Below are 27,995 nucleotides of genomic sequence, written 5' to 3'. Positions count from 1 at the left end.
AGATTCCCTAACCCCTTCCATTACATTATTTAATCTCACTGAAAATCTTCATATCTAGAGGCCTGGTGGTTCTGACAACTGAGAGTATTATATGTGGAAAGAGAAAGTAAATTCATGAAAGACAGATTTTGATTTTTCCTAATTTTGAGAGAGTGGTTTTATCCATGAGAACCACAGTTATATGACAATTGTTTAATAAAAAAGATCCAGCAGCAGAATCTAACCCTCTACCTTCCCTCCTTTAGACGGTGAACGGATTAGCTGTCCAAACTCTTAGGAGAAGGCAGAATGGATGGACATGTCACACACATTGTTCTCTGGGAAGGTTCTTCATCTGGTGCTTCCATGGGTGAAACTAAAGAAGAGGTGCTGTAAAACGTAATATTTCTTAAAAAGTTAAAAGACTCCTTAAGGCTCATTTCATTTAATAGTTTTCAAAGTTTTTATTTGCACTAGAGCTCACTTTTCAAATACAATCTTACCTAAAACTTAAATACATAAGGCCAACACATGTGATACTGTTCTCATCAATGCCAGGATAAGAGTGCCCTTCTATAACTGTAGAAAAACATATCTAAAACCTAGGGCTGCCTGGACCATTGTCAAAAAGCCTTTATTCAGGCTGGGCGCGGTGGCTCACGCCTGTAATCCCAGCACTTTGGGAGGCCGAGGTGGGCCGAACACGAGGTCAGGAGATCGAGATCATCCTGGCTAACACAGTGAAACCCCGTCTCTATTAAAAATACAAAAATTAGCCAGGCGTGGTGGTGGGCGCCTGTAGTCCCAGCTACTTGGGAAGCTGAGGCAGGAGAATGGCACGAACCCAGGAGGAGGAGCTTGCAGTGAGCCGAGATCGAGCCACTGCACTCCATCCTGGGCAACAGAGCGAGACTCTGTCTCAAAAAAAAAAAAAAAAAAAGCTGTTATTCAGCAGATCTCTGTAAGGATATAAAAACAAAGATTCAAAAGAGGAAGTGACTTGTCCAAGCTCCCCAGCTATTAGGTATCTTAGCTAGAATTCCAAGTTCCCTTCTTACCATGATGTATTCTGGAAATTTAATGCAAACTAGGAAGCTGAAAACTCTTCCACGTATCTAGGACCAAAGCAGAAAGAAGCTCGTTCCTTGTCAGCGGTGTCTGCAACAGTGTATGGCTGATACCTCCTGGGTATCTTGGAGATGACTCTACTTGCAACGTTCTATACTAACAAAGATGGCAGAGACATGACACAGTTAGCCGTATTTTAAATGGCTATTTTAAAGATGATTTTCTCTTTTAGAGCAGCTGTTTTCAATTTTGACTGCACATCACCATAGATGGAGGAGTGCTTTTGTTATTGTTTTATTTAAATTACAGATGCTCAGAATTTTTCTTTTGGAAGAAAATAAATATTCTCAGAATCTTATGAAGATGTCAACATTTTATTCAGGCAAAAAATGCAAACATGCTCATATGCATAATTTTTTGCATATATTTTGGGTGTATTTTTTAGTCCCCTGGGCAAATAATTGGTTGTATCTTTTAGTCTCCTGTGAATTTTCTTAAGGGATATTATTTTTAAGATATTTCTTTCTACTAATGCAATTTAAAGCATAATCCAGTTTATAAAAGTACAATTATTTAAAAAAGATCTTAATGGCATGTTATTTGTGAAAATGACCTCAAGAATAGGCATTCCATACTTGGCTAGCTATTCATTGTAATTTTCAACCAGATATCTCCATGTAAACTTTGGAGCCTCGTCTCCAGCTCATGGAAGCAAAAGCCATGTTGAAGCCGAGGCTAGACTGAACATTACAGAAACATAAAAGTTGGCCATACCCTAAATCTCTGTGATCTCTGCAGATGCTCCCAACACGGACCTCCAGGAGTAAACATCATCTCCACCTGAGCCAATGAGGCTTACTGGACTTGTGGGAAAGAGTGTGAGCTTCTCAATCAGCCTTTCCTAATATGCAAAACCTAGTCCTGCCACTCACTAGTGAGGGAGAAGGTAGGGAAAAACCAGTTAGGTAAATAGTTAAGGCTGGGCCCCGGGGGAAATGCCTGCCTGAAAAATCACAGCTGCTGCAGCTGCACAGATAAGCTCAGGGGCTGATAAGGAGCCAGTGAGGCATAGAAGCATTTTTGTTCTTTGTATAATTAGCTCCAGGAAAACGTTTCCTCCCCTTTTCAGGCATATACACAGTGGGCTCCGTGGGAACTTGCACAGGGAGGAAGGAGGCTTACCTAAAACAAACCCACAGTTACATGAACAAGAGAAGCAGCACTTTGTGCTTACTTAGAAACATCCCACAGCTGGATAAAGGGAGTTGCACAGACAGCGTTACTGATAAGAAAAGTTACTCCTCAAACAATTACAGGGAGGAGAGCAGTTTTTTATAAAAGCTTTTTGCATTCAGCTGTGACCCGGCAATCCACTCAGACTCTTCTGCAGAGAGCTTTCTCCTTTCGCTTATAAAAGTTTTGCTCCAACCTCACCCGTGTGTCAGTGCTCCTCAGTCATCTTGGAGGTGAGATGAAGGACTCAGGGTGATACCTCACAAGAGAAACTGCTACATAAAGGTGCATTTGCAAGACTGCAACACTAGCTCAATATATTGAGCCACTTGTTTCAGGTTTTAACCTTTTGAGACAGTAAAACAATGTCTTTTCCCCCACCATAGGATTTCTGTGGTAATTAAATGAAATTACAGTACCTGGCTTTTGGTATAAGTTTATAGCAGCACATTTGCAATTGCAAAAATATGGAGCCAACCAAAGTGCCCATCAACCAATGAGTGGATAAAGAAAATGTGGTATACATACACCATGAAATACTACTCAGCCACAAAAAGGAACAAAATAATGTCTTTTGCAGCAAATCGGATGGTGCTGGAGGCCATTATTCTAAGTGAAGTAACTGAGGAATGGAAAACCAAAAATTCTATGTTCTCATTTATAAGTGGGAGCTAAGCTATGAGGATGCAAAGGCATAAGAATGATATAATAGATGTTGGGAACTCTCCTTGGGGGAGGAGAGTTGGAGGAAAGTGAGGGATAAAAGACTGCATATTGGGTACAGTTTACAGTGTACACTGCTCAGGTGATGGGTGCACCAAAATATCAGAAATCACCACTAAAGAACTTATCCATGTAACCAAAAATCACTTGTACTCCCAAAGCTATTGAAATATATAGCTATAACTAATATATAATATATATATTAAACTAATATATATTATATATGTATGTATATATATTAAACTATTTGCCTGGGGATAAAAAAGCAAAACATGTTTTTCTCCTCTGCTGTAAAATAAAATTTTCTAGAGGCAATAATAAAATATGTATCACAAATTCTCATTGAAATTCCATACAAACAGAAAAAAGTCAAATTGATATTATAATCTGTGAACCATATTAGATTAAACTTCTATGGATATTTAGCTGAAGGAAAATAAATTTAAGGCAAAATAGAGCAATCTCAGTTTGTTCAAGTATTTAAAATACCTTTCAATATCTGAAATGGAATAATTCTGTTTGCCCTTAAATTAGAACGAATATTAACAAGTCACATGTTGAGTTCCAGTAAGTGCTATGGTAATGAATTAGGTCTGCATATCAGTCTTAATTATGATTTGATGAATAACTACATTCAAATATAATGCAATAAAGAAAAAAATTCATCCAAAAAGGGAATGAATATACAAATATAAAATGTATATAGCAATCGAGACAACATGATAAAAGGACAAAATATATGACTATAGAACCAACCCTGACCCACAATCTCTTCAGCAACCTGTCTAGGAAGCCAGATTGTAGCCTCTGCAGCAATCAGTCCAGAATACAGGCTTGCTCAATGATTGCCAGCTTCTCTAATTTTTGTCTCTGCTGCCAACTCAGGACCAACCAGAGCAAGCCAAATATGTTTTCCAAACCAATCACATAGGATGCCCCACATCTAGTCAGCCCTCCTTCAGCCTCCCCACGCCAACAACTTCCAATCAGGGCACATAGGAAGCCTTCCCTTTGTTCCATTATAAAGCTTTCCCACCCTGCTGCTTTCCCTTTGAGTCTGTGCCAAATGCAAGATGGCTGACTCCCTTGCTTTTGCAAGCTCTGAATAAAATAGCTATGCTTGTTCTCATTTGGTTGGTCTTTGTTTATTTCCATAAGTAAGTACTTAATAAATATTAGCTTCTTCTGCATTTCCATTTCTCCCTACTGGTGGGTACTAAAACATCCTTGTTGATCTTCTTTCTCACTTTTATGAATGAGTCACAAATAATTCTTCTGCAGTCTGAATGAAGCCTCTCATTTCATCTTAAAGATATATCCCCAATATATTTCTTAATTTCCAGACCAGATGTTTCCCAGGTCACTGTTAGCTAAAGAATCTTTTGCAATGCTTGGCATTCATGGTTGGAAGGATTGAGGGGAGAGACAGAGACTGGGGTGAGGGAGGGAGGTCTTGGCTGAACAGAAAACAACGTACATCTTCTAATTAAGGCCCACTTTTATCATTATTCTTATTCTTTGTTTTTAAATTTAAACTTGTCACTGGCCAGCATAAAAAGAAACAGTTTTTTAGATGAAGAAGCTGAATTCACTTAATCTTTCAAAAATGTAAAAATAGCCTTTCACTAAAGAGCCATAAAAAATGTCTAAGTTAAGGTTAGTGTGAATCTTCTGTTCAGGAGCCGTTCTTCTTTTCTAACATTAAAAATAACCAATTGGGGAAAAGCTGTCAGGCAGAACTGAGCTTCTTGGCTTCAATCTGCTCAGTGTGGCCTGAGTGTTATTTACAGAGGGGTTTTACAGGTATTATAAACACTGGAAAGATTTCTTTGGAGTCCACTGGGCAAAAGGAATGTGTATGCATTATTCCTTCCAGAGATGAGCAGAGGCAGAGAATAGAGATGAATATTCACAGGGGTCCAAATCATCTGGAAAACAGCTTGCTGGAGTCCTGCGATTACGTTAATAAGATGTGTACCATATGCTGGCTTGAGCATGCTAATACCCTGCATCCCCTGAGTGTTGTAAGAGGATGATGGCACTGGCCACTCAAATGGAGATGGTTCCCAAAGCTGGAGCCTGCTTGTTTGTATTCCTCTGTGTCTCTGAGGGAGAGGCTCTGTGGCTTCCCAGGCTGACTGACCTCAAAGCTCCCTGCAATTTGGAAAGTAAATGATTCATTTGTCCTGTTAAGCAGCACAGAGGTTTTGTGAATCAATTGTGCACCTATTTAGAATGCAAATTAGACAGTGAGAAGCTTCATGTCAGGACATGCAGTAAACCCTGAAGGCTAGTTTCTATGCCTGGGTGACAATAAAAACAGCCTTTGAAGTAAAGCAAACACAGCGAGAATGCGCAAAGTTGGTTTTTGAGTGGGGAGGTTGTCTACTAACCTAGGCCCTCTTTCTTCCCTAGCATATACCTCAGCTGCAAGTCACAGCTGACCACAAAGATTCTGCCTTCTCTAGTGAGGTCAGCCTGCCTTAAAGGACCAGCCCTCTAAGGGGTATATTGGCTTGCCTGATGGAAGAGAAAGTCAGATGCAGGTAGAACCTAACTTTATATGGGACTCTAGTTTTTCCCATCTAGTTCTGTGTCACAAGCTATGCTATAACAGAGAAAAGTTCCTTCCCCACCATTTTTGCTTTGTCTTTAGTCAGAATAACCACAGTGGAGGCAATAGGTGGGAGTGATAATTCCAACATCTGCTTATTCTAATTTATTAACTGATCCAGTCATTTATTAAAAGATCACATACACTTATTGCATGTGAACTTTATGCCAGTCACCATGCAAAACGGGTGCTTAGTAGAATGGAAATAACTAGTGTTTGGTGGCAGAGGCAAATGCCTGACCTGAACAATTACTCCATGCACTGAAGGTTCTAACAAGTATGAACCTTGCAGCAGGACCACAAAGGAGGTGGTGGTATATCATCTGTGATTTATTTGTCTACAGACAAGGTAATGCATGTGTATATAAATCTATTTAATTTGTACCCTATGAAGATCAGGGGTTCTTTGGAAGAACACCCAAATAATTCTAATGAAGAATCTAGGTTCTATGTATATTGAGTTACCTCTACACAGAGAGGTTTACACTCTAGGGCATGCATTTCAAATGCTGGTATCAGAACATGCTCAAAGGGGATTGCTAACTACATAATATAGATTAGAAATAATGTTTTTATGAGTGAAACAGTGTTTAAGATATGTGCGTGGCTATTTGACTAGAATAATTGTGTCCTTACATCACTTTTGTTTAATGGGTAAATAAGAATTTGATGAACCAGGCACTTGAGTCCCTCACACTAGTGCTATAGAACTAGAATTTCATTTGGTCTTGTTTTATTCCACTTAAAAAAGATTCTGCCACTGAACCTTACAAGAATAATGGTTGATCTTGCTATCAAAATATTTGTTGTATTTGCCTTGGGTCAGTCTTTCAAACACATTCTCTGTGTTTGACAGAAAGTCAAGACTTCAACAAGTCTACAAGAATTGGTTGTAAAGTTGTTATATGCCTGCTTAGATAATAAACATCACTTTGGGTGTCAGTATTTGGTCTGAAAGCAAGTGGTATACTTTCTTTCATTGTATACCACTCAATTGAGCTTGTGGAAAGAGCTGACATATAGTTTCTACCTTCTTCTAAGTTTGGAGAAGATACCAATATTTACCAAAGATCTAAATATAAATGGCCATATTGACTTAGATCAGCTCTAAACAGACAGCTTCCTGGAGGAAGTGATGCTTGTGTTGGGTTTTGAAGCCTCTCTAGTTGTGCTCCAGCTTTTATAGATTTGAAAACCAGCCAGTCATTTCCCCAACCTGCTAAACAGAGCTGTGCAAAGAACACCAGCTTGAGAATAAAGTGAATGTCATTGGAATTCCAGTTCCCTCACTGCTTCACTTTTGACCTCAGGAAAGGTTTGAATGACTCCAAGTCTGTTTCAATGTCTGTAATACAAACAAAAGTTTTATTTGAATGATCTATTGCATTCCTCTGCAATTCTTTGATGGTACATACTGAAACACGACTGGGTTGAACAGATGTGTCCTTTAAGGAAAAGAGAAGCTCATGATGCTGGTGAGAAAAGAATCAAGAATCAAAGGGGAGACTTTTCTGAGTCATTCATCTCTTAGCAGTTATTTGCTGAGGGCCAGGTCTCTTATATAGTTATTTAAGAAGTACTGTCTAGTCAACATGGCACATGTCAAACTAGGCTGTATATTTGGGCAACATCATCCCCTTTCAGTGTCATTTTTCTCATCTAAATTGGAGGCTAAATATCAACAATTGTAGGCTGGCTTTGAAAAGTAAAGCTAATGTTTGTAAAGGGAAAATGCAGTCTTGGGTATATAATAAGCATGTTAGGAATGATAGCTATTATTATCATTACATTAATGACAAAATACCAAACACGGTCACAGAACTGTACCAGGGCAGTGGAACACTGGAGGAAAAGAAGAGAGGGACTACCTATACTTTGAAAGAGAGTGAAAATGAGTGCTGTGGTATGAGCTGTTTTTTCTGAAAAGAAAAGGGAAGCATAAGTTTCAAGAAAGATTGTATATGAACAGGCACATACAATCTGAATAAAAATATTAAAGAATACTTGAAGAATGAAAGTAGACTGGATAACTGAAATGAAGAATGAGAGTAATAAGAGATAATCCTATAACATAGATAAGGACCAGATCAGGAAGGGGAAGAAAACTGATAATTGTTTTGTACCCTATTTACTACACAGAAACCTAGGCATATTTAATTATTTACTTTTCAGAACCACCCCACAAATTAGGTGTTTTGAACCGCATTTTACAGTTGAGAAAGCTGGCCTTGGGAGTCATTTAAAAGGTTTACATATTATTCTTTCAGTGATAGGGAGCCTCTGAGAGCCTTTAAGCAGGTGAATGACATAAATTATGCAGTTACCAAGAAAGCTGGCTTCCCTGGAGATCCTTACAGAAATGAGGCCACACAGCTACCTTACAGATCTTTTCAAACAGCATGTCAGGAGCCACATGGGTGAAGCAGGAAGCAGGAATGACTGTCAGCAGAAAGGCTAGGCTTGGCTGGCTCCAGCTGGGGGAGGGATCTCTGGGGAGACCTGTCATCCAGGGCTGCAGGCTTGTTCCATATCCTCTTCTTGCTCTTCCAACAGACTTTCCCCTGCCAGATACAGGTCCCACAGGATGACTGCAATGAGCTCATAATTGTGGGGAGAAAAGTTAGTCTGAGCTAAATCACTGCTGTGGAACAGAAACAACCTTGACTCAGAACAGCTGTTTCTGAAAAGTGTACTCAGAGCTTTCAGAACAGCTTGTAACAACCCGGAGTAAAGAGCTTGGGCAAAAAGAATGTGCGACAATCTATGTGAAAATAGAAGTATGATCAAAACCCAGAATTTCAGAGTGGAGACTGAAAGAGAGGTACTAAGGTACCAAAGGGAAGCCTATCTGGGTTTGGAAAATTTGGTAGCAGAGATTTCTTAATATGTGACTGAGTAGCTTATGCCAAGAGGAAAACATCATAGAATGGCTCTTCTATGCCTGCCCCCAGCTGCCCACAGCTGGAAGCTGTGATGAATCATAAAAGACCTCAGAACTGGTTCAACACCAAAGAGTTTAGTCTTTTCACTGTCTTTACATTTGGGGAAACTGAGGCTCAGAAAAGTAAATTAATCTAGATCAGCTAATTGATTTGCTAATTGATTTACTCATTGAGACCCCAAAAATTTCAAGATGAAGAGGAATCAATGAATCTTAAATCTAGCCTGATTTTTGTGGTCAAGATCACCCTTACTTATCTCTGAAAATATTACAACAATGGGAAGTTAAGAAGAAAGAAATGTCAATGGTTCATGGTTATCAAAAGGGAGCAGCTATATCCTGGGCTCCTATTGAGTTAAGGATAGGGACAGGAATTAGACAAGCTGGGTGGAAGGGATGCAAAGATTCTGGGTTGCACCTGGGCCAGGGTGTGCCAGGATGTTAGCCCAATGGCCCTTCAGCTGGACGTGGGTGTTCTTCTACCATAGTGTACCTATGAGTAACAACACACCAACAGCTTCTACTGAGGATCCTGCATATTCTTTTTGGTATCTTCATATATAATATCTATAAATGAAGAATGAGACTATCATAATGTGAAACTATATGATAGGGTGAATCTTGGTATTTATTTAGAAAAGCATACAGGAGGTAGCTAATTGAAACAATTTTCTTTCTTTTATTTCTGTAAACCATCTCTTTATGCTATTACTTGACTGCTCTGGATACTGAAAAATGATTTCTGATTTAGTCCCAAAACATATGCAGTGTTTTCATAAATTAACAACTCTAACTTATAACAACAACAAGCACACTGGCCACATATAACATGATTGAGGTCTAGATGTTTATCCAATCAGAGTTTAAGGTGAAACTCCACTCAACTGATTTTATAGTTAATAAGGGATTCAGAAAGATGAAAATTCAGAACCTCCCATGTTCAAATGAAAGTATGAATGTTTGAAATAGAGACAGCTGTTTTGTTATTAGTTAAATATTGGATATATTTCATTCTATCAATCAGTGAAAGAAATGATGGAAGGGGCATGCTTTTTGGCCTTTTAGATGGAAGAGCACTGACATTATTGACCACACAATATAAGTTAGATTTTTTGTATGCATATTCACTGCTGACTTGCATTACTTACATTAACTTATTGACATTCAAAGCAGCCTTATGAAGTATTTTTCACATTGTGCAAATGATGAAGTTCCAAGAGGTTAATATACTTGAGCAAAGTCATATAGTTTATGTCAGAGCTAGAATTAAATCCATGTCTGTTTGATCTCAAGTCAACAGTGTTTCCACTTCATCACTTTGAAGAAGTACATGACATCTGCCAGATCCCATGCAAGAACAAGAGTATGTGCCAGGACTAGACACTGGACACATCTGTTACCTGTTGGCAGACTAGATGGAATATATGAATGGCTTCTGCCAAGAGGCCTGCAAATTGTCTTTGATGTCTTCATATCTGAAATCTATAACTTTGATGAATGAGGCTATCCCACTGTAAGACTATATGACAAGGCAAGAAGGCCTGTTCTTTCTCACCTATGATTAAACAGGCAGCTGAGAATAATATCCTTAAATGTTTTACTTCAGGGTTCCTCCCATCCAAATTGGGACTCCTGGTAGGACATCTTGCTATTCTCTGAGATGAAGAGACCTTAGATGAATCCCTGTTTATGGTTTCCTCTGGTTGCCTTTTATGTGAAAAGTTATTCATACTCAGAGGAGATGAGATGATATGATCTGGGGTCCAATTTGTTGAATACCATAATGTATTCTGTTAATCACTATCACCCCGGAGCCTGACTATCACAGGGATTTTTTTCTTTTTTTTTTTAACCCAAACTTGGCCAATTTCTGTGGCATATTTTTTGAGGACACCACAAAGATTGCCTATAAATTGATATCTCTCTCCAAATTTAAAACTTGCTCAGCTAAAATCCGTTTGACTTTTCAGGCTCAATTTTCCTTTAGGCCTCTCCTTGCTTTCCTCCTGTGCCCAAAGTCAATGATTTTCTAAGAGTCCTCTTTACTGATTGCCTTGGGCTCTACTAGTTATGGGATGAAAACTTGAATTGACCAGCAGCCAGGACATTGGGGTGACACAGCATCTTCTACAAATAAATCTGTCAGAGGTAAGAATGGGCTTCTGCTTGTTAACAAATGTATTGATCATGATAAATGTTGGACCAATTGTCCTCAGAAATGGACGATAGTCTCAACACACACTACTTGGGGGTTGTAGGTGAGCTGTTCTTTCATATCTCTGCTTATCCTTTTTTCTATAATAGGCTTAAACCATGGAGGTGGGAGGGGATAGGGGAGCTGGTTGATTGCTTGACAAAACTTCAAGTTTCTTAGCAATAATATTTCTAATATTCAAGAATTAATTATTTTCAAAAAGTATTAGATAGGAACCATTGCCTGGACTTCAATGTTTTAAAACTACCCATGGATACGGTAAACTTTCAATTAGTTTACTCAAAACACATTGGTTAAAAACTCGCATCTGCCACTAATTTTCTGAATGACTTTTTAAAAACATCATCTCTCTCAAAATCTGAGTTTCTAATCCCAAAATGAGAAGATTGGACAACATCAGAACAGAAGCAAGTTGTATATTCTATGCCTAATGCAAGCATTACTAGTTCATTTTTTCTCCTGAATGTAGATGTAACTGAACAATCTTTCATAGCTCAGCACTCAGGAAGCTATCACTATTCAATGAGATTTTGCCTAAGATATAAAATCCATGTGTTATTGATCAATAGTAGATCTCAAATATAGCCCTAACATTTTATGATTATTTTCCTTATAACTTTTTTTGGCCCAGGGAAAATTGTAAAATAGACATATGTCTGATCAATTCTTATATTTTTAGTACTTTTCAGTTTTCAATGCTCCTTTAAGTCCTTTAGCCCATTTATTCTTTACGACAAAACTGAAAGACTGTAAATTTTGTTCTCATAGGTATTTGCTGGTGATTGCTGCACAGTAAGCCAGGCTAGAACTCGATGACGTAAATGAATAAGCATTTATTACTGCTTACTAGTCTATTGGTCTGCTGCATAGTTCTGGTCTCTGAAAGAATCAGGCATCTACGGTCAGCTGTGAGCCAACTGTGAGCAATTTAGTCTAGGATGGCCACTCTTAGGAAGGTTGAGAAAACTAGGCTCTCCTTCCCATGATCTTTCATTGCCTAAAAGATTAATTTGAGCTTGTTCAGATGACAGCAGCAGGGCTCTGAGAAAGAAAAGTGCCTCTTGATGCCTGGACTCACAACCGGCACAGCATCATTTCAGCATAATTCTGTTGGCTAAAGCAAATAACAAGGCCAGCCTAGATTCAAGGACTGGAAGAATAGATATCTCTTAAGCGTTCTACTGAAAATTGGAAATGCCTGATCACTGCCTTCCAAACTATGCATAAAACATTTCCATCAACCCAGAAATTTCTCCTGTGTTCTCTGTTGATTCCTTTTCTCACCACCTCCTATTTATTCAGGAGACCACCTTCTGATTCCTAACACTGTAAGTGTTGGTATATTTTTGGATACACAAAATCAAAAATTCATTTCTGTCTCTTTTCTTTACTATCATGTGTTTCAGAATAATCCATACTGTTGCATGCATACATGTTCTTTTAAGTTTATTGGTTTCCTTTTTTAATTTTTTCTTCATATTCTAGTTTTTGTTTTCCTTTACATTCATTGTTGTGTACCCATGCTGATCCCAGCATTATGCAACCAGTAATGACTTTACATGCAAATTGAATGAGACAGAATATTCATCATAGAGCATTTAAAATGTGTTTTAGGCCAGGCACGGTGACTCACGCCTGTAATTCTAGCACTTTGGGAGGCCGAGGCTGGCGGATCACTTGAGATCAGGAGTTCAAGACCAGCCTGGCCAACATGGTGAAACCCTGCCTCTACTAAAAACGCAAAATAATTAGCCAGGCTTGGTGGTGCATGCCTATAGTCCAAGCTACCCAGAAGGCTGAGGCAGGAGAATCGCTTGAGCCCAGGCGGCAGAGGTAGCTGCGAGCCGAGATTGCGCCACTGCACTCCAGCCTGGATGACAGAGTGAGACTGTCTCCCCAAAAAAAAAAAAAGAAAAAGAAAAGAAAGAAAAGTATTTTAAAGCAAAAAAAAAATTATAATTACTGATAATTTCATTAACAATATTACCACAGTGAATTTAATGTTTTCCTGTCACAGTTTTTAAAAATCTGTATACATTGTTTACTTATAAAATTACAATTGGAATCATGCATATAGACATACATTCTTCTTTCTCACTTGATATTGCGTTGTATTTTCTAAATTATTAAATATTCATTTTTTCAGTAGTTTTGTTCCTACACTAATATATATATAAATATTATTTTTATTATTTTTGAGATTGGATATTATTTGTTTATATTGATTTCTCCCTACCTCTCTTTCTCTCATATATTTTGTCTTATCCAATATTAAATTTATTTAAGTTTATTTATTTTTTCTGAGGATTTTTTTGACTAGAACCCAACATTTTGTTGCTTTCACATTGTAAAGTGTCTGTAATACCAGTTTTAATTTCCTCTTTGCCCCAACACTTATTTATCAAGGCATATTTTAATGTATTTCATGTTTTTAGTTTTGCTTGTATTTTTTGTTTATTGCTTTGAGGCAAAAAAGATTGCATATTTTTCATGTTTTGAAATTTTTTGATTATTTATGTAAATGTATTACAGACATTTAAAAGAATATGTATAATGGGCATCTAGGCACAAATCCTATTCATACCTCTTCAGTCTGGCTTATTAATTAAGAGAGCATTGCAAAGTGATTAAGAGCTAAAGCTCTGGAAACATTTTGCCTATGTTCAATATTTGGCTCAATCAATTTCAAACTATGTAACGTTAGTCCAGCTACTAAACCTTCTTTGAATTAATTCTCTCATCTGTAAATGAGATTGTAGTAGTATCTAATAATATCTTTCTATAGATTTATTGTGAGCAGTAAATGAGCTAGTAAATATAATGATATATATAATAAATACAGCAGTGCCTGACATGGTAAACACTATAGGTGTTATTTTTCATTGTGGTATATTATTCAAGTCATCTATGCTTACTGATATTTTCTGTTTTCTGTATTAAATATTAAGATATATTCAAGTTCTCCCCATGACTCTAATTTTGTCAACTGTACCTTACATTTATAAGTTTTCCTTTAAATATTTTAGTGTCAAATTATTTGATACATAAATGTTAATAATTGCCATAAATATTTATTCATTCATTTGGTAGTCATATAAAGCACATTCATTTTCTTATTTCATGCTCTTGTCTTGGATTCTGTAATACTGATATTGCCAAGGCTGTTTTCTTTGCATTTGTTATTGCCTGGTATACAATTCTCCCTCTTTTAATGTTTTGCTTTTCTTCTTAATTTCATTTTATTGAGTCTGTTATCAAGATTATATAATTAATTTAGGTTCTTTTACCAATACAAGAGGAGTTTAATTAATTTATAACAACTCTGATAACTGGTGGTTTTATTATAATTTTGCCCTTTTATTATATACTTCACATTTTTAGGCTTTATTGCTCTTCTTTCCTAGATTGTTCTATGTGAAACAAGTTTTTTATACTTTTTTTTCTTCAGTAACATGAATATCACGGATATTAATTATATTAAGTATGATTACTTTTACATTAAAAAGTAAACATCCTTGAAATTGCATTTCCCTATTGCCTTAAGAAAGAACAATACCAATTTATGATTGTATGCAATGTGCATTAGCAAATAATGATAACATGTAATTTCCTTTCACTCCTTTTCATCCAGCTCTTTCAAGTTAGAGATTGCTAAGCTAAAGAACACTGATGCTATAATAAGCAAGTTGTTCCCCACGTGTACAGCAGTGGGCATTGTAATGTTATAGAAAGAGCATGGGTTATGGATCTATACAGATGTAGTTTCAGATGCCAACTTGGTTATTATTAGCTATTGATCATTATAAAATAGTATATGTCAGTTCCTAGTATATACTGAGTATACAAACAGGAAGATGAGTACTGGCCTTATAGGCAGTTTGAGGCAAATCAAAACAATGTAGGATTTGTCAGCAAGGAGCTTGAATGCTAGATTTTGTAAGTAGACAATCACTAAGATGTTTCACATAGGCCACAGGAGTGGTTATGTTTGTCATTAGATGGCTTTCAGAAGGGTTTTGCATAAGGATAGCTTTGAGTAGAGGGAGACCAGTGGTCAAGCTACTACTATTTTGAAGGTGAGAGATCATGAGAGACTTCAGACAATGACAGTAGAATATTACAGTGTGAATTCAACTAATGTGCATGTGGTAAATTGAGAAAAATGAGTTTGATTTTTTTAATTTAAATAAACTATGTCGTTTTAGTATTATATAGACCAAAAAATACACAAATCACGAGTGTATAGTTTGTGAATTTTCACAAAGTGAACACAGTCATGTAACTAACACCGAAACCAATAACTAGAAGATTCCAGCCCTCAGCAGTGTTTTTTGTGCCCTCTTCTAGTCACTATCCACCAACTGAACCTCCAAAATCATAGATTAGTTTTATCTGGTTTTGCATTTACATGAATGTAATCATACAAAACATACTCTTTTGTGTAAGACTTGTTTGGCTCAAAATTATGTTTGACAAATTCAAGGATTTTGTGCATTGTGATAGACAGTTCCTTCTCATAGTTTCCTTCATTGTGTAAATATCACACAACATGTTTATCTATTCTATTGTTTATGGACATTTTTGGTAGCTTTCAGTTGGGAACTCTTGTAAAAACTGATGATATGGGCTGGGTGTGGTGCCTCATTTCTGTCATCCCAGCGCTTTGGGAGGCTGAGGTGGGAGAATTGCTTGATGCCAGGAGTTCAAGATAGGCCTGCAAAACAACATAAAGAGTCCCCATCTTTACAAAAAATTAAAAATGAAAAATTACCTGGGTGTGTTGTGTGCACCTGTCTTCCCAGCTACTCAGGATACAGGAGGATTGCTTGAAACCAGGAGTTTGAGGTTACAGTGAGCTATAACTGTGCCACTGTGCTCCAGTCTGGGCAACAGAAGGAGACCCTGACTAGAATATATATATATATATACACACACACATATATATGTGTATATATAATAAACCTGATGATATGAATATTTTTGTATATATCTTTTGTTATAAATATGCATGCAATTCTGTAATATATTTATTATATATATTCTGTGTATATATTATAAATATGCATGCTCTTCTGTTATATATTATATATACAGAATATATTATACAATATATTAAATATAATATATAAGCCTGATATGAATATTTTTGTATATATCTTTTGTTATAAATATGCATGCAATTCTATAAAATAGCAACAAATGAAATTTTTAGGTCATGCATGTGCTTTAGTATACACAGTGAAAACTTCACACAATTTTATAAAATACACCCCCACTCTTTAGCACTATGAGAGTTGGGTTGCCTCACATTTCCACAATTGATGTAATGGGTCTTTTTCATTTTAACCATTCTTGTGGGGATATAGTGGTATCATTGTGTTTCCAGTTTGCATTAACATTGAACAACTTTCGTATGTTTATTTGCCAGTTGAATATCACTTTTGCTAAAATGCCTGCATCTTTCGCTCATTTATCTGTTGTGTGTCTATCTTTTTCTTAATTCTCTCTATATATTCTGTGTGAGATCCCTTGGTCAGTTACGTTTCTCCTATTCTGTCTCATTTTTTGGGTTGCTCCTTTATGCTCTTGCTGATGTTTGATAAGCAAAATTTTGATGTAGACTAATTTATCAATGATTATCATTAAGGTTAGTGCTTTCTGTGCCCTATTTGTACCATCTTTTCCTATCTTCTAAGTCATAAAGCTCTTTTTCTATGTTTTCTTCTAGAAAAAATGTGTTTCAAGTTTTACATTTAGGTGTATAATCTCCCTTGAGTTGAATTGTATATATAGGGGCACAGATTTTTTAATATGCATAACTGTCTGACTCAGGACCACATTTTTAAAGGATCATAGCATAAAAGACCACTGTGAAATGACATCTTTTTCATAAATTGGGGGGTCTGTGTATATGTTGGTATATTTCTGTAGTCTGTTCTCTTCCATTAAATGATGTAGCTATCCCTCTGTTAATACGACTGTCTTAAGTGTAAGAACTTTATATATCTCTCTCCCCCACCCCCCCTTTTATTTTTTAGTAGGGACAGGGTCTGACTATGTTGCCCGGGCTGGTCTTCAACTCCTGGCCTCAAATGATCCTCTCATCTCAGTCTCCCAAAGTGCTGGAATTACAGGCATGAGCCACACCTGGCCCATAGCTTAATATCTACTATTGTAATTACTCTAAACTTTTTCTTCTTCAACATTTTTTTCTTTTCTGAATATTTCCTGACCTTTGTATTTCAGTGTCAATTTGGGTATCAGGCGTCAACTCCTACCCAACAGTAACAACAGACCTGCTGGTATAATGTTTGAGATTGCATTGAATCCATAGGTCATTTAGGGGTAAATTATACAGCATTAGTTACAGTACTAAATTATGTACATGGTATATTCCTCCATTCTTTATTTAATTATTTTCAATAATGATTTGTAATTTTTTTTGTAGCTGCCTAAAGACAGAGCAAATTTAAAGAAAACTTGCAAATTTTGGTTCTGAATGACAAGGTCCATGATGCTGTTCTACAGGCATATCTTGTTTTATTGCACTTTGCAAATATTGTATCTTATTACAAATCAAAGGTTTGTGGCAATCCTGTTTCAGCAAGTCTATCAGTGCCATTTTTCCACAGTATGTGCTCACTTTGTGTCTCTGTGTCACATTTTGGTAATTCTCAAAATATTTTAAACCTTTTTGTAATTATTATATCTGTTTTGGTCATCTGTGGTCGGTGATCTTTTTTGTTACCATTGTAATTGTTTGGGGGCACCACAAAAATATGCATAAAAATGGCAAACTTAATCATAAATGTTGATTTATTTTATGTTCAGTTTTTTCTGACAGCTCCATCAACTGGCTGTTTCCCATCACTCTCTCTCTTCTCAGACCTCCCTATTTCCTGAGAAGCAACAATATTCAAATCAGGCCAATTAATAACCCCAAAATAACCTCTAAGTGTTCAAGTTAAAGAAAGAGTCACACATCTCTCACTTTAGCAGAAAATCTAGAAATGATTAAGCTTAGTGAGGAAAGCATGTTGAATGCTGAGATAGGCTGAAAGCTGGGCCTCTTGCACCAAACGCTTAGCTAAGTTGTGAATGCAAAGAAAAGGTTCTTGAAGGAAATCAGATGTGCTATTCCACTGAATACAAGAGTGATAAGAAAGTAAAACAGACTTATTGCTGGTATGGAGAAAGTTTGAGTGGTCTGGATAGAGACCCTAGGGCCTATTTCTTTAGAGAATTAGCAAGGCCCTAACTCTCTTCATAGGAAACTTGAGAGAGGTGAGGAAGCTGCAGAAGAAAAGCTAGAAGCTAACAGAAGATGGTTTATGATGTTTGAGGAGAGAAGCCATTTCCATAACATAAAAGTTCAAGGTGAATCAGTAAGTGCTTCTGTGGAAGCTGCAGTAAATTATCCAGAAGATCTGGCTAAGGTAATGGATGAAGGTGGCTACACAAAACAGCAGATTTTCAATGTACACAAAACAGCCTTCTACTGGAAGAAGATGCCATGTAGGACTTTCATAGCTAGAGAAGAGAAATCACTGACTAGTTTCAAAGCTTCAAAGGACTTTCTGACTTTCTTGTTAGGGGCTAATGCAGCCGGTGACTTTAAGTTGAATCAATGCTCATCTACCATTCTGATGATCTAAGGGCCTTTAAGAAATATGCTAAATGTACTCTGCATGAGATCTATACATGAAACAACATAGCCTGGGGGATGGCACATCTGTTTATAGCCTGGTTTACTGAATATTTTATGCCTGCTATTAAGACCTACTGCTCAGAAAAAAAAACTTTTAAAAAATATTACTGCTCTTTGACAACACATCTGGTTACCCTCAAGTTCTGATGGAGATGTACAGAGAGACTAATATTGTTTTCATGCATGCCAACACACTATCCATTCTGCAGCCCATTGATCAAGAAGTAATTTTGACCTGTAAATCTTATTATTTACAAGGCTCTTGTTTTCATAGATAGTGATCCCTCTGATGGATATGGGAAAAGTAAATTGAAAACCTTCTGGAAAAGATTCGTCATTCTAGATATCATTCAATACATTTGTGATTTATGAAAGGAGGTCAAAATATCAACATTAACAGCAGTTTGGAAGAAGCTTTCAACCCTCATGGAAGACTTTGAGGTACTAAAGGTTTCAGTGGAAGAAGTAACTTCAGATGTCGAGGAAATAACAAGACAACTAGAATTAGAAGTGCAGCCTGAGGATATGACTGCATTGCTGCAATTTCATGATAAAACTTGAAGAGATGCAGAGTTGCTTCTTACTGATGGGCAAAGAAACTGATTTCTTGAGATGAAATCTAGTTCTGGTTAAGATACTGTTAACATTGTTAAGATGACAACTATTACATAATTTGATAAATCAACAGCAATATTTGAGATCATTGACTCCAATTCTGAAAGAATTTCTATTGCATGTAAAAGTTATCAAAAAACATCACATACTGCAGAAAAATTTTTATGAAAAGAAAAAATTTCTCTGTGGCAAACATTATTGTTGTTTCATCTTAAGAACTTTCCACAAGCCCTGCAACCTTTCGCAACCAACAACTTGATCAGTCAGCAGCCATCAACATCAAGGCAACACCCTCCACCAGCAAAGAATATGACTTGCTGAAGCCTTGGATGGTTGTTAGCATTTTTTAATCAATAAAGCATTTTTAGTTAAGGTATGTACATTTTTGTTTTAGACATAATACTATTGCACACTTAGTAGACTACAGAATAACGTAAACATAACTTTCATATATTTTAAAATTTTAAATGTATACATTATATTTTAAATGTATACCTAATATTTTTAAGTTGCATGTGATATTTCATTGCATGCACTAATTGTGTATTGATCAAGTCAGGGTATTTAGGGTATTCATTACCTTGAGCATTTATTATTTCTATGTGTTGGAAACATTTCAAGTGCTCTCTTCTAGCTATTTTGAAATAAACAATATATTGTTTCTATCTATAGTCATTCTTCTCTGCTGTTGAATAGTAAAATTTATTCCTTCTCTCTAACTGCATGTTTGTGCCAATTAACCAACCTCACTCCTCTGCTTCCCCATATATACTTCCCCTTTCCAGCTTCTGGTAACTATCATTCTATACTCTGCCTCCATGAAATCAACTATCTTAGCTCCCACATATGAGTGAAAACATGCAATATTATTCCATTAAATGGATTTTTAAGTTTTGCCATTCTTTTCTCCTTCTGGAACACCCAGCATTTAAATATTTCATTGCTTTGTGGTCTCTTATATGACATTCAGTCTTTATTCATTGATTTTATTCTTTTTATTGCTTTTTTCTGATGGGGTTATTTCAAAATATCTGTTTTCAAGTTCTGAAATTCTTTTTTCTACTTAGTCTACTGTATTGTTGAAGCTTTCAACTGTATTTTATATTTTATTCATTGAATTATTCAGTTCCAGAATTTCTGTTTGTTTTTTTTCTTTGTAATATCTATCTTTTTGGTGAATTTCTCATTATATTCTGAATTGTTTTTCAGATCTATTTGTAATGCTTATCTGTGTTCTCTTACATCTGCCTGTGCTTCTTTAATATAAATGTTTTTAATTCTTTTTCGGACATTTCATAATTTCTTTTTCATTGCAATCTGTTGCTGGAGAATTATTGTTCTTTTAAAGGTGTCATATTTCCTTGTTTTTTTATTTTTCTTGTGTCCTTATGTTGATATCTGTGTATCTGATGTAACAATTCCTTCTTTGTATTTTTTGGATTGGCTTTAATAGGAGAAGACTTTTCTCTATAGATATATTATGGTGTTGGTTGAGTATGGCCCTTTGGCCTTGATTCTGGGTGCATGCTATGGTGTAATCCCCTAATGATTTCTTCAGCTGCAAACAGTATCATTGATGTCTGTGATTTCCTCAGTGGTTTGAACTACAGTTGTCAGTGGAGGATGTGGTGAGGCTGGGTGCTGGGGATGAGGATGCCAAGTGGGCCAATTCTTCAGCTCCATTGGTGGCAGTGGTGTGTGAAGTGTGCCTATCTTTGGGCCCCCAGGTGGCGTGTGGAGTTACTGGAGTTAATGGGTCCAGGAAGGCCAATTCTTGGGCCTGTATGTGGCTTGCTCAGGTGCCAGCAATGGCATCAGTAAGCTGGACTGGTGGGTGGATCTTCAGGCCCCTAGGCAGCATGTGTGGTACATGTGTGATGGCCGTAGCAGTAGCAGGGCAACACTCAGGCTCCCATGTAGCCTGTGCTGGTGTTAAGAGTGGCTGCAACTGGCTGGGCAGGCCAGTTCCCAGGCTGTCAGGTGGCCTGTGCAGGTAGGTGCCCGCAGTTGTGGTGGCGGCAGAGTGGGTGCCCATCCTCAATCTTTTGGAAGGAGTGAACAGATACCAGTGGTGGAGGATGGGCCAAGCCAATCCCCAGACTTTCAGACCATGTGTTTGGGCACCAGCAGCTAGTTTTCTGAGACTGTTGTTGGGCCCTCTAATGTTCTGTATGCATGCCCAAGGCCATTGACAGAGAAGGGCAATCTCAAGCCCCTAGCGGGTGGTGCTGAGGGGATTGTACCAGGCTGGGTGGGCCTATTCTCACTCGCCTTGCTGATGCAATCCCACCGGGTTGTGGTGGGCAGGACAAGGCTATTTCCAGGGCCCAGTGGTGTGTTCAGGTGGCAGCAACAGCAGCAGTAATGGGCGGGGAGAGCCTCTTCTCAGGACTCTCAGGATATGTGCAAGAGTGCAGTGGCTCTGCTGCTGGTGGGAGACAGGGTTGCCATCAGTGGCAACAGCCCCAGGCAAGTGGTTTTCAGGCTCTGGGGAGTGCACACTTAGACTCCCTTTGTCTGGAGCAGCCTCCCTGGTGTGCTGCACCACCTGTTCCCAGTAGGACATTGTGTGGGCTGCAGTGTTGAGGTCCCTGCCACACTGCTGGGTCCAATGGGCAATGGCACCACTGTAGTCCTCCAGGTGGATGTGGAGGGTATATCAGTGGGGATTCAGGGATATAGAGGTGCAGGGGCTGTTAGACCCCAGGGCAAGATGCAATGTTGTAGGGTCTGGACTGTCAGGATGGCGCTATACAGCTGCTTGGGTTTGGTAGGGGGATGTGGGACCTAGCATGAGCTCCCCCTAGCATGAGCTCCCTCTCTGGAGCAATGCCATCGCCCAAACTCCAGGCATGAGTCTGTGGTGGGAATTTGGATCACTGTGAATCTTTTACTCACCCTTTCCTTGCATCAAGGAGCCTCTCCAGTCTCCCACCCAATCCTGGCCCAGCTGGCTGCCTTGCTTCTCTCTCCTTCTATGCCTTAGTGTTTCCTGTCACTTCTCTGCTGAATTCCACTGTTCTGCCTTAGGTGATCTATGTGAAGTGTGATTACCTACTTACTATTTTGGGGTTTGTTTTGTGGGGGAGGTGAGTGCCAGATGCCTCTAGCCAGCCATCTTAAAGCCCCCTAAAACATAACTTTCTTATGCATTGGGAAACAAAAAAAGTTGTGGGATTAGCTTTATTGCATATTCATTTTATTGCTCTGGCCTGGAACCGAATGTGTCATATATCTTAAGTATGTTGTCATATATCTTAAGTATGTCTGTATAGGGTTGTTTGTGTGTGTGTGTGTGTGTGTAGTAATAGTAAGAGGTATGGGGCAGAGTAGTAAAATCATTTTAAGATGGCTTTGGAACATATAAAAATATCTAAGAAGAAGTTGGAGCTATCTACAAATCCAGAACTTAGGAAAATGCTATTTCAACACATATTTAATGTACATCTGTTATATTCCAGCAACTTAACTAGGCCCTGGGATTAAAATGGTGAACAAAACATCTACAAAAAGCAAAGGCCTCTGCTCTTATTTTAAAGAGTCAGATATTAATCAAAGAATCACACAAATTAATATACATTTCCAGAAGATAATTGAGAAAATTGATACCAGGAGTTGAGAAAGGTTACTTCAAGGAAGTGTCCAAAGGTTTTCAATGGGGGGAAAATTGGTTATGATGTTTCCAGAAAAAAAAGTTAGCATAAGCTGCTAAAGGAAGATGGAGCATAATGAGACATGACCCCACAGGATCTTGAATGTATGCTAAGGTGATTATCTTGAGCAGCTGGAGAAATGGAAAGGTTTATTCAATATATGTACCATATTAGGTGGCAAAGATTATAGAACATTTCAACATTGCAAATAGTTTTATTGAGCAGATCTGTATAGAGGTTTTATTTGCCAGTCAGTTGTATACAAGGGAAATTGAAAAGATAGGTATTGATGTGCTTGCTAGGAGAAAGTAAATAGTTACAATATGGCCTTATATTGAGGAACTCCAACACTTAATAACAGTGAGGAATAGAATGAGCCTAAAAAGGAGGCAAGGGAAAGGACTGAAAGCTAGAAAGACATTCAGTAGAGTGCTGTTTCATGGGTGACTAAAGGAGTTCATGGTACAAAATGCCATAGATGCCATAAGATGAAGATTAAAAACACCTGCTGGATTCAACAACAGGTGACATAATCAGAAGTTGTTTTAACAAAAGAGTGGGAGAGAAATCCAGAATACATATAAGTACATCAAATATGTATGAACAGTTGAGAAATTTGGATGCAAAGCAAAGGAGACAAATAACAGGGACTAGAAAAAATTATAGAATTCCAATATTTTTGTGGGTATTTTATTAAGGGGGAAACAGGAGCATGCTTATGCCAATTGGAAGCATATATTGAGAGAGAACATAGATTTACAAAATAAAGAACCAGATAATCTAATTTTGAGTTTCAAAAGACTTGGAAACCACGTGTTTGTATTGGAGCCTGGCTGGTCAGTTTAGTCACTTTCACTAGGATGTCTCTGTTCTCCAGAAGTGGTGAGTAGGAACAAACGTCCGGTAAACAGGGCCAGGGTTTTGTAGCAGGAACAGCAAAGGTGTTAATGCATAAAGAAGTTGACAGAGATCAACAAAGGGCAGTTACAGAGGTAGGTCTCTGGAGAGAAGGCTGAAGCAGTGAGATGATTTATCCATCTGGAAGACTAGACAGCAATAGAAGAGTTGAGGTGCTGGAGGGCATGATGCAGTTGTGTGCACATGGATGTGAGTGAAGGAAAAGAGAATGAGCAGGATGAAAGGTCAGGATGAAAGGTCATGGCCAAAATTAAAACAGTAGTGTGAAATTCTAAAGTGGAGCACATCCAGATGCCAATATAGTTAGTGAATTTCCAAGGAGCGAATATAAAGTTTGCTAGATTTAAGGAGTTTAAGGGGATGTAATGATTGAGATGAGGGGTAATTCTAAGCATTGAAATGTCTCAGGATAATTATAGGGGTTGAGGTTGAAATAAAAATTGTTAATGGGATTTTGAAGCTTCCAGGGAATGTTGGAGAGGATGGTGGAGCCTTAAAAATGGTAACAACAGATGAAACTATATTCAAAATGGGGAGTGGTGTGGTTGATTCAGCTATTAATACCACCGAGCTCTGGTTTTTCTATCTGTAAAATCGTAATCATATTTTCTTGCAAATGTGCTATGGTTTGAATATCATTTGCTTGACCCCACCAAGTCTTAGGTTAAAATTTGATCCTCATTGTGGGAGGTGGGGGCTGGGGGGTGGTGTTTGGATCATGGGAGCAGATCCCTCAAGAATGTCTTGGTATTATTCTCATGAAAGTGAGTGAGTTCCCACCCTTAGTTCCCACAAGAACTGGTTGTTGAAAAGAGTCTGACACCTTCTCAGCTTTCTCTCGCCTCTTTTCCCACCAGGTGATCTCTGTACATGCTGGCTCTCCTTTACCATCTGCCATGAGTGGAAGCAGCCTGAGTCCCTCTCCAGAAGCAGATTCTGGCACCATGATTCCTATACAGCCTATAGAGCTGTGAGCTAAATGAACCTGCTTTCTTTGTAAATTACTCAGCCTCAGGTCTCCCTTTTTAACAATACAAAAACAGACTAAAACAAAAAGTCATTGATATTAATGTATTAACATAAGCACATTTCTTATATCCTGTGCCTAATATATAATATCTGCTCTAAAAAATAGTTTTCTTTTACTAATACTAAGAAGATACTACATTTAGTAAACAATGGAGATCCTGAGGCTAACATCTGGCTGAGGGTGATGAAAGAAACCTGCTATGATTATGCCTGGTTCTGTGACAACCAGAGGCTCAGCCTGGGACACTGACTGTTCTCTCTGACCTCACAGAAAAGGCACTGCCGGTGAGTGATGTCAGGGTGTATCAATGGGTCTAAGGACATTTCTCTTACTTTAGTAGGCAAATGCTTGAGCATTTGGATGCTGCCATGATTTGAAGACAGCTGATGATACATTGCTTCAGAAATTCCAATTGCCAAGCTGGGTCGCCAGAGTTCATGCCTCACAGGGATCCAGAAAGAGAAAGCATGTGCCTCAGCATCTGGGAAGACATATTTCTTATGTGAGCTAATGTCTCAAAGAAATCGATCAAGTTCAAAACTATGCAGACAGCATTTTATGAAGCCAACTGGATCTTGTCAGGGGAGACAAATCAGCAGGGAGGCAGCCTTGAAAAAGCTGTGCCTGGCACAAGCCAGCACTCTGGTGTAGGGGAAAGTTTGCTAATATGAAGAATGAAACAAGGGTGTGCATAGGAGACAAGAAATTTTAGAATTAAAGATTTTCACTGCAAGTCAGAAATATGGCCCCATAGATTTTATTGGGCTGTTAGCAAGATTTGTTTGCATTTTTCTAATGCAGTAAGCCATCTCATAAAGAATTCCCCCATGGATTCACAATCTTTAAAGTCACATTTTCTATCTCTGTAAGTCACCCCTACTGTATAAACTTGACATGCTTAATTGTCCACAGAGCACATTTATGACAAGTAGGCTAATTAAGTATTTGTTGGCTCTTACCACAAAGTTATTACTGTAAATCATGAGATCAGAAGGGAGCTTACTTTCCCAAATCAGAAAGATTGACTAGCCTGGGTGATTCTGAAGGAGTACTTAGTCCTGAATTTTATGTCTCATAAAACTAATTCCAGAAATGTTTTCAAAATTTTATTTACTGCAAGGTTAGTATCAGTTGTAAGAACTATTTAGCCTAATAGATTTTTGGGTTCAGAGGAAAGGAATAAGAAAAAGTTTAAAAAGTTAGGTTTTATAACTGAGCTATTGCTCTGAATTTTTGTAGGAATATTTTTGATGCTTAGCAGAGTGGAGACAGAAAAATAAATTTTTTAGAACACTTTGTGAGGCCGAGGTGGGTGGATCACCTGAGGTCAGGAGTTCAAGACCAGCCTGGCCAACATGGTGAAACCCCGTCTCTACTAAAAATACAAAAAATTAGCCAGACATGGGGTGGGGCATTTGAAATCCCAGCTACACAGGAGGCTGAGGCAGGAGAATTGCTTGAACCCGGGAGGCAGGGGATGCAGTGAGCCGAAATCATGACATTGCACTCCAGCCTGAGCAACAAGAGTGAAACTCTGTCTTAAAAAAAAAAAAAACGAGATAATTTTACCTCATATCCTAGGAAAATCTAGGAAATTGTCTTACTGTTACAGAAATTTTTGGAAAAGGTTACCTGATGTGTTAAAATAGTCATCCAAATAAGAATGTAAACAAGCCTAATAGAAAACCCAAATTATGGAGATTTATGAGGAGATAGAGAAAATTAGAAAATAAGAATGGATAGGTTGATAATAAATTTACATATAACAATTTGGAGAGGGTGTGAGTTGAAAGATGGGGGGAAAACGTGATTCCAGATAGAAAAGTAAGGAGATAAGAAAACAAGGAGAAAGTAAGGAGATAAGAAAATTAACATTTTATTCTTCCTTACGTGAGTTATATTAATGTTTCCTAATCCAAACGGCAAACAGGTATTCCTCTTGGCTTTCTCGGTGAGACAATGAAGTGAGAAAGGAAGAAAGGAAAGAACATGCCACAGTTGCTGTCACAGAGAAAAGGAATGGAAAATTGGTTGGACTGAGGGGATAAAGATGTACCTCTCGGGGACACAGGCCAGTAGGTGCTAAAATAGATCAGTGATAAAAATGCCTCTACCACCTTCAATTTTTGACTGAGATCTTTCCTTCTCTTTGTTCATGATATGCCACATTTTGCTAAGGGTGCTTTGTTGAAATGAGGAAAATACATCTAAAAGATGGTAAAAAGCTATATAAAGTTGCCAAAATTTCCATGAAATAGCATTGATAATTAGACGGTGATGATGAGTTTTATCAATGATCAAAGAACCAGTGCTTTGGACATTTATAATATCATTTTTACGAAAATGATATTTTAAGGGAGTTTAATTTTTTTTTTTTTTTTTTTTTTTTTAGTATTTATTGATCATTCTTGGGTGTTTCTTGGAGAGGGGGATATGGCAGGGTCATAGGATAATAGTGGAGAGAAGGCCAGCAGATAAACACGTGAACAAAGATCTCTAGTTTTCCTAGGGAGAGGTCCCTGTGGCCTTCCGCAGTGTTTGTGTCCCTGGGTACTTGAGATTAGGGAGTGGTGATGACCCTTAACTAGCATGCTGCCTTCAAGCATCTGTTTAACAAAGCACATCTTGCACTGCCCTTAATCCATTTAACCCTGAGTTGACACAGCACATGTTTCAGAGCACGGGGTTGGGGGTAAGGTTATAGATTAACAGCATCCCAAGGCAGAAGAATTTTTCTTAGTACAGAGCAAAATGGAGTCTCCTATGTCTACTTCTTTCTACACAGACACAGTAACAATCTGATCTCTCTTTCTTTTCCCCACAATTTCCCCTTTTCCTTTCAACAAAACCACCATCCTCATCATGGCCCGTTCTCGATGGTTGCTGTCTCTTCGGAGCTGTTGGGTACACCTGCAGAAAGGCTGTCACTTCACACTTGGAAGGTTGCACAGCGGCCAGGCAGAGGTGCTCCTCACATCCCAGACGGGGCAGCTGGGCAGAGGCGCTCCTCACCTCCCAGACGGGGCGGCCAGGCAGAGGCGCTCCTCACTTCCCAGACGGGGCAGCTGGGCAGAGACGCTCCTCACCTAAGGGAGTTTAAATTTTATAGTGCATGTTACATTGTAATTATTATTGAATAAACTCATAAACTTATGTTTAGAGGGTGAAAGTAATTGGATGAAAATAATACATTTCATTGATAAGACATTATATGTGTGTATATACACGTATACACATATACATTTTCTTTTAGAAAAATTATTTTCAATTTTATTTTTTTGTATGTGAATCATTTCTT

At 37.9% G+C, this 27,995-nt stretch overlaps 2 long non-coding RNA genes across 2 annotated transcripts; one reads left to right on the top strand and one right to left on the bottom strand.

Annotated features, from left to right (window-relative positions):
* The first annotated feature begins 189 nt into the window (after window positions 1–189).
* On the top strand, window positions 190–26,766 carry LOC105378394 (uncharacterized). Its single transcript, XR_946141.2, has 3 exons — window positions 190–366; window positions 24,525–24,981; window positions 26,628–26,766. It is a non-coding gene; the product is annotated as an uncharacterized LOC105378394 (long non-coding RNA).
* LOC105378393 (uncharacterized) lies at window positions 296–1,960 on the bottom strand. The gene is made up of 3 exons (XR_946140.1): window positions 1,822–1,960; window positions 1,038–1,198; window positions 296–369 (listed from the first exon to the last, which is right to left on the bottom strand). It is a non-coding gene; the product is annotated as an uncharacterized LOC105378393 (long non-coding RNA).
* Window positions 26,767–27,995: the final 1,229 nt, after the last annotated feature.

This window comes from Homo sapiens, chromosome 10 (genome assembly GCF_000001405.40).
Source record: "Homo sapiens chromosome 10, GRCh38.p14 Primary Assembly".
Classification (NCBI taxonomy): Eukaryota; Metazoa; Chordata; class Mammalia; order Primates; family Hominidae; genus Homo; species Homo sapiens.
This window is presented reverse-complemented; position numbering and strand designations above follow the sequence as displayed.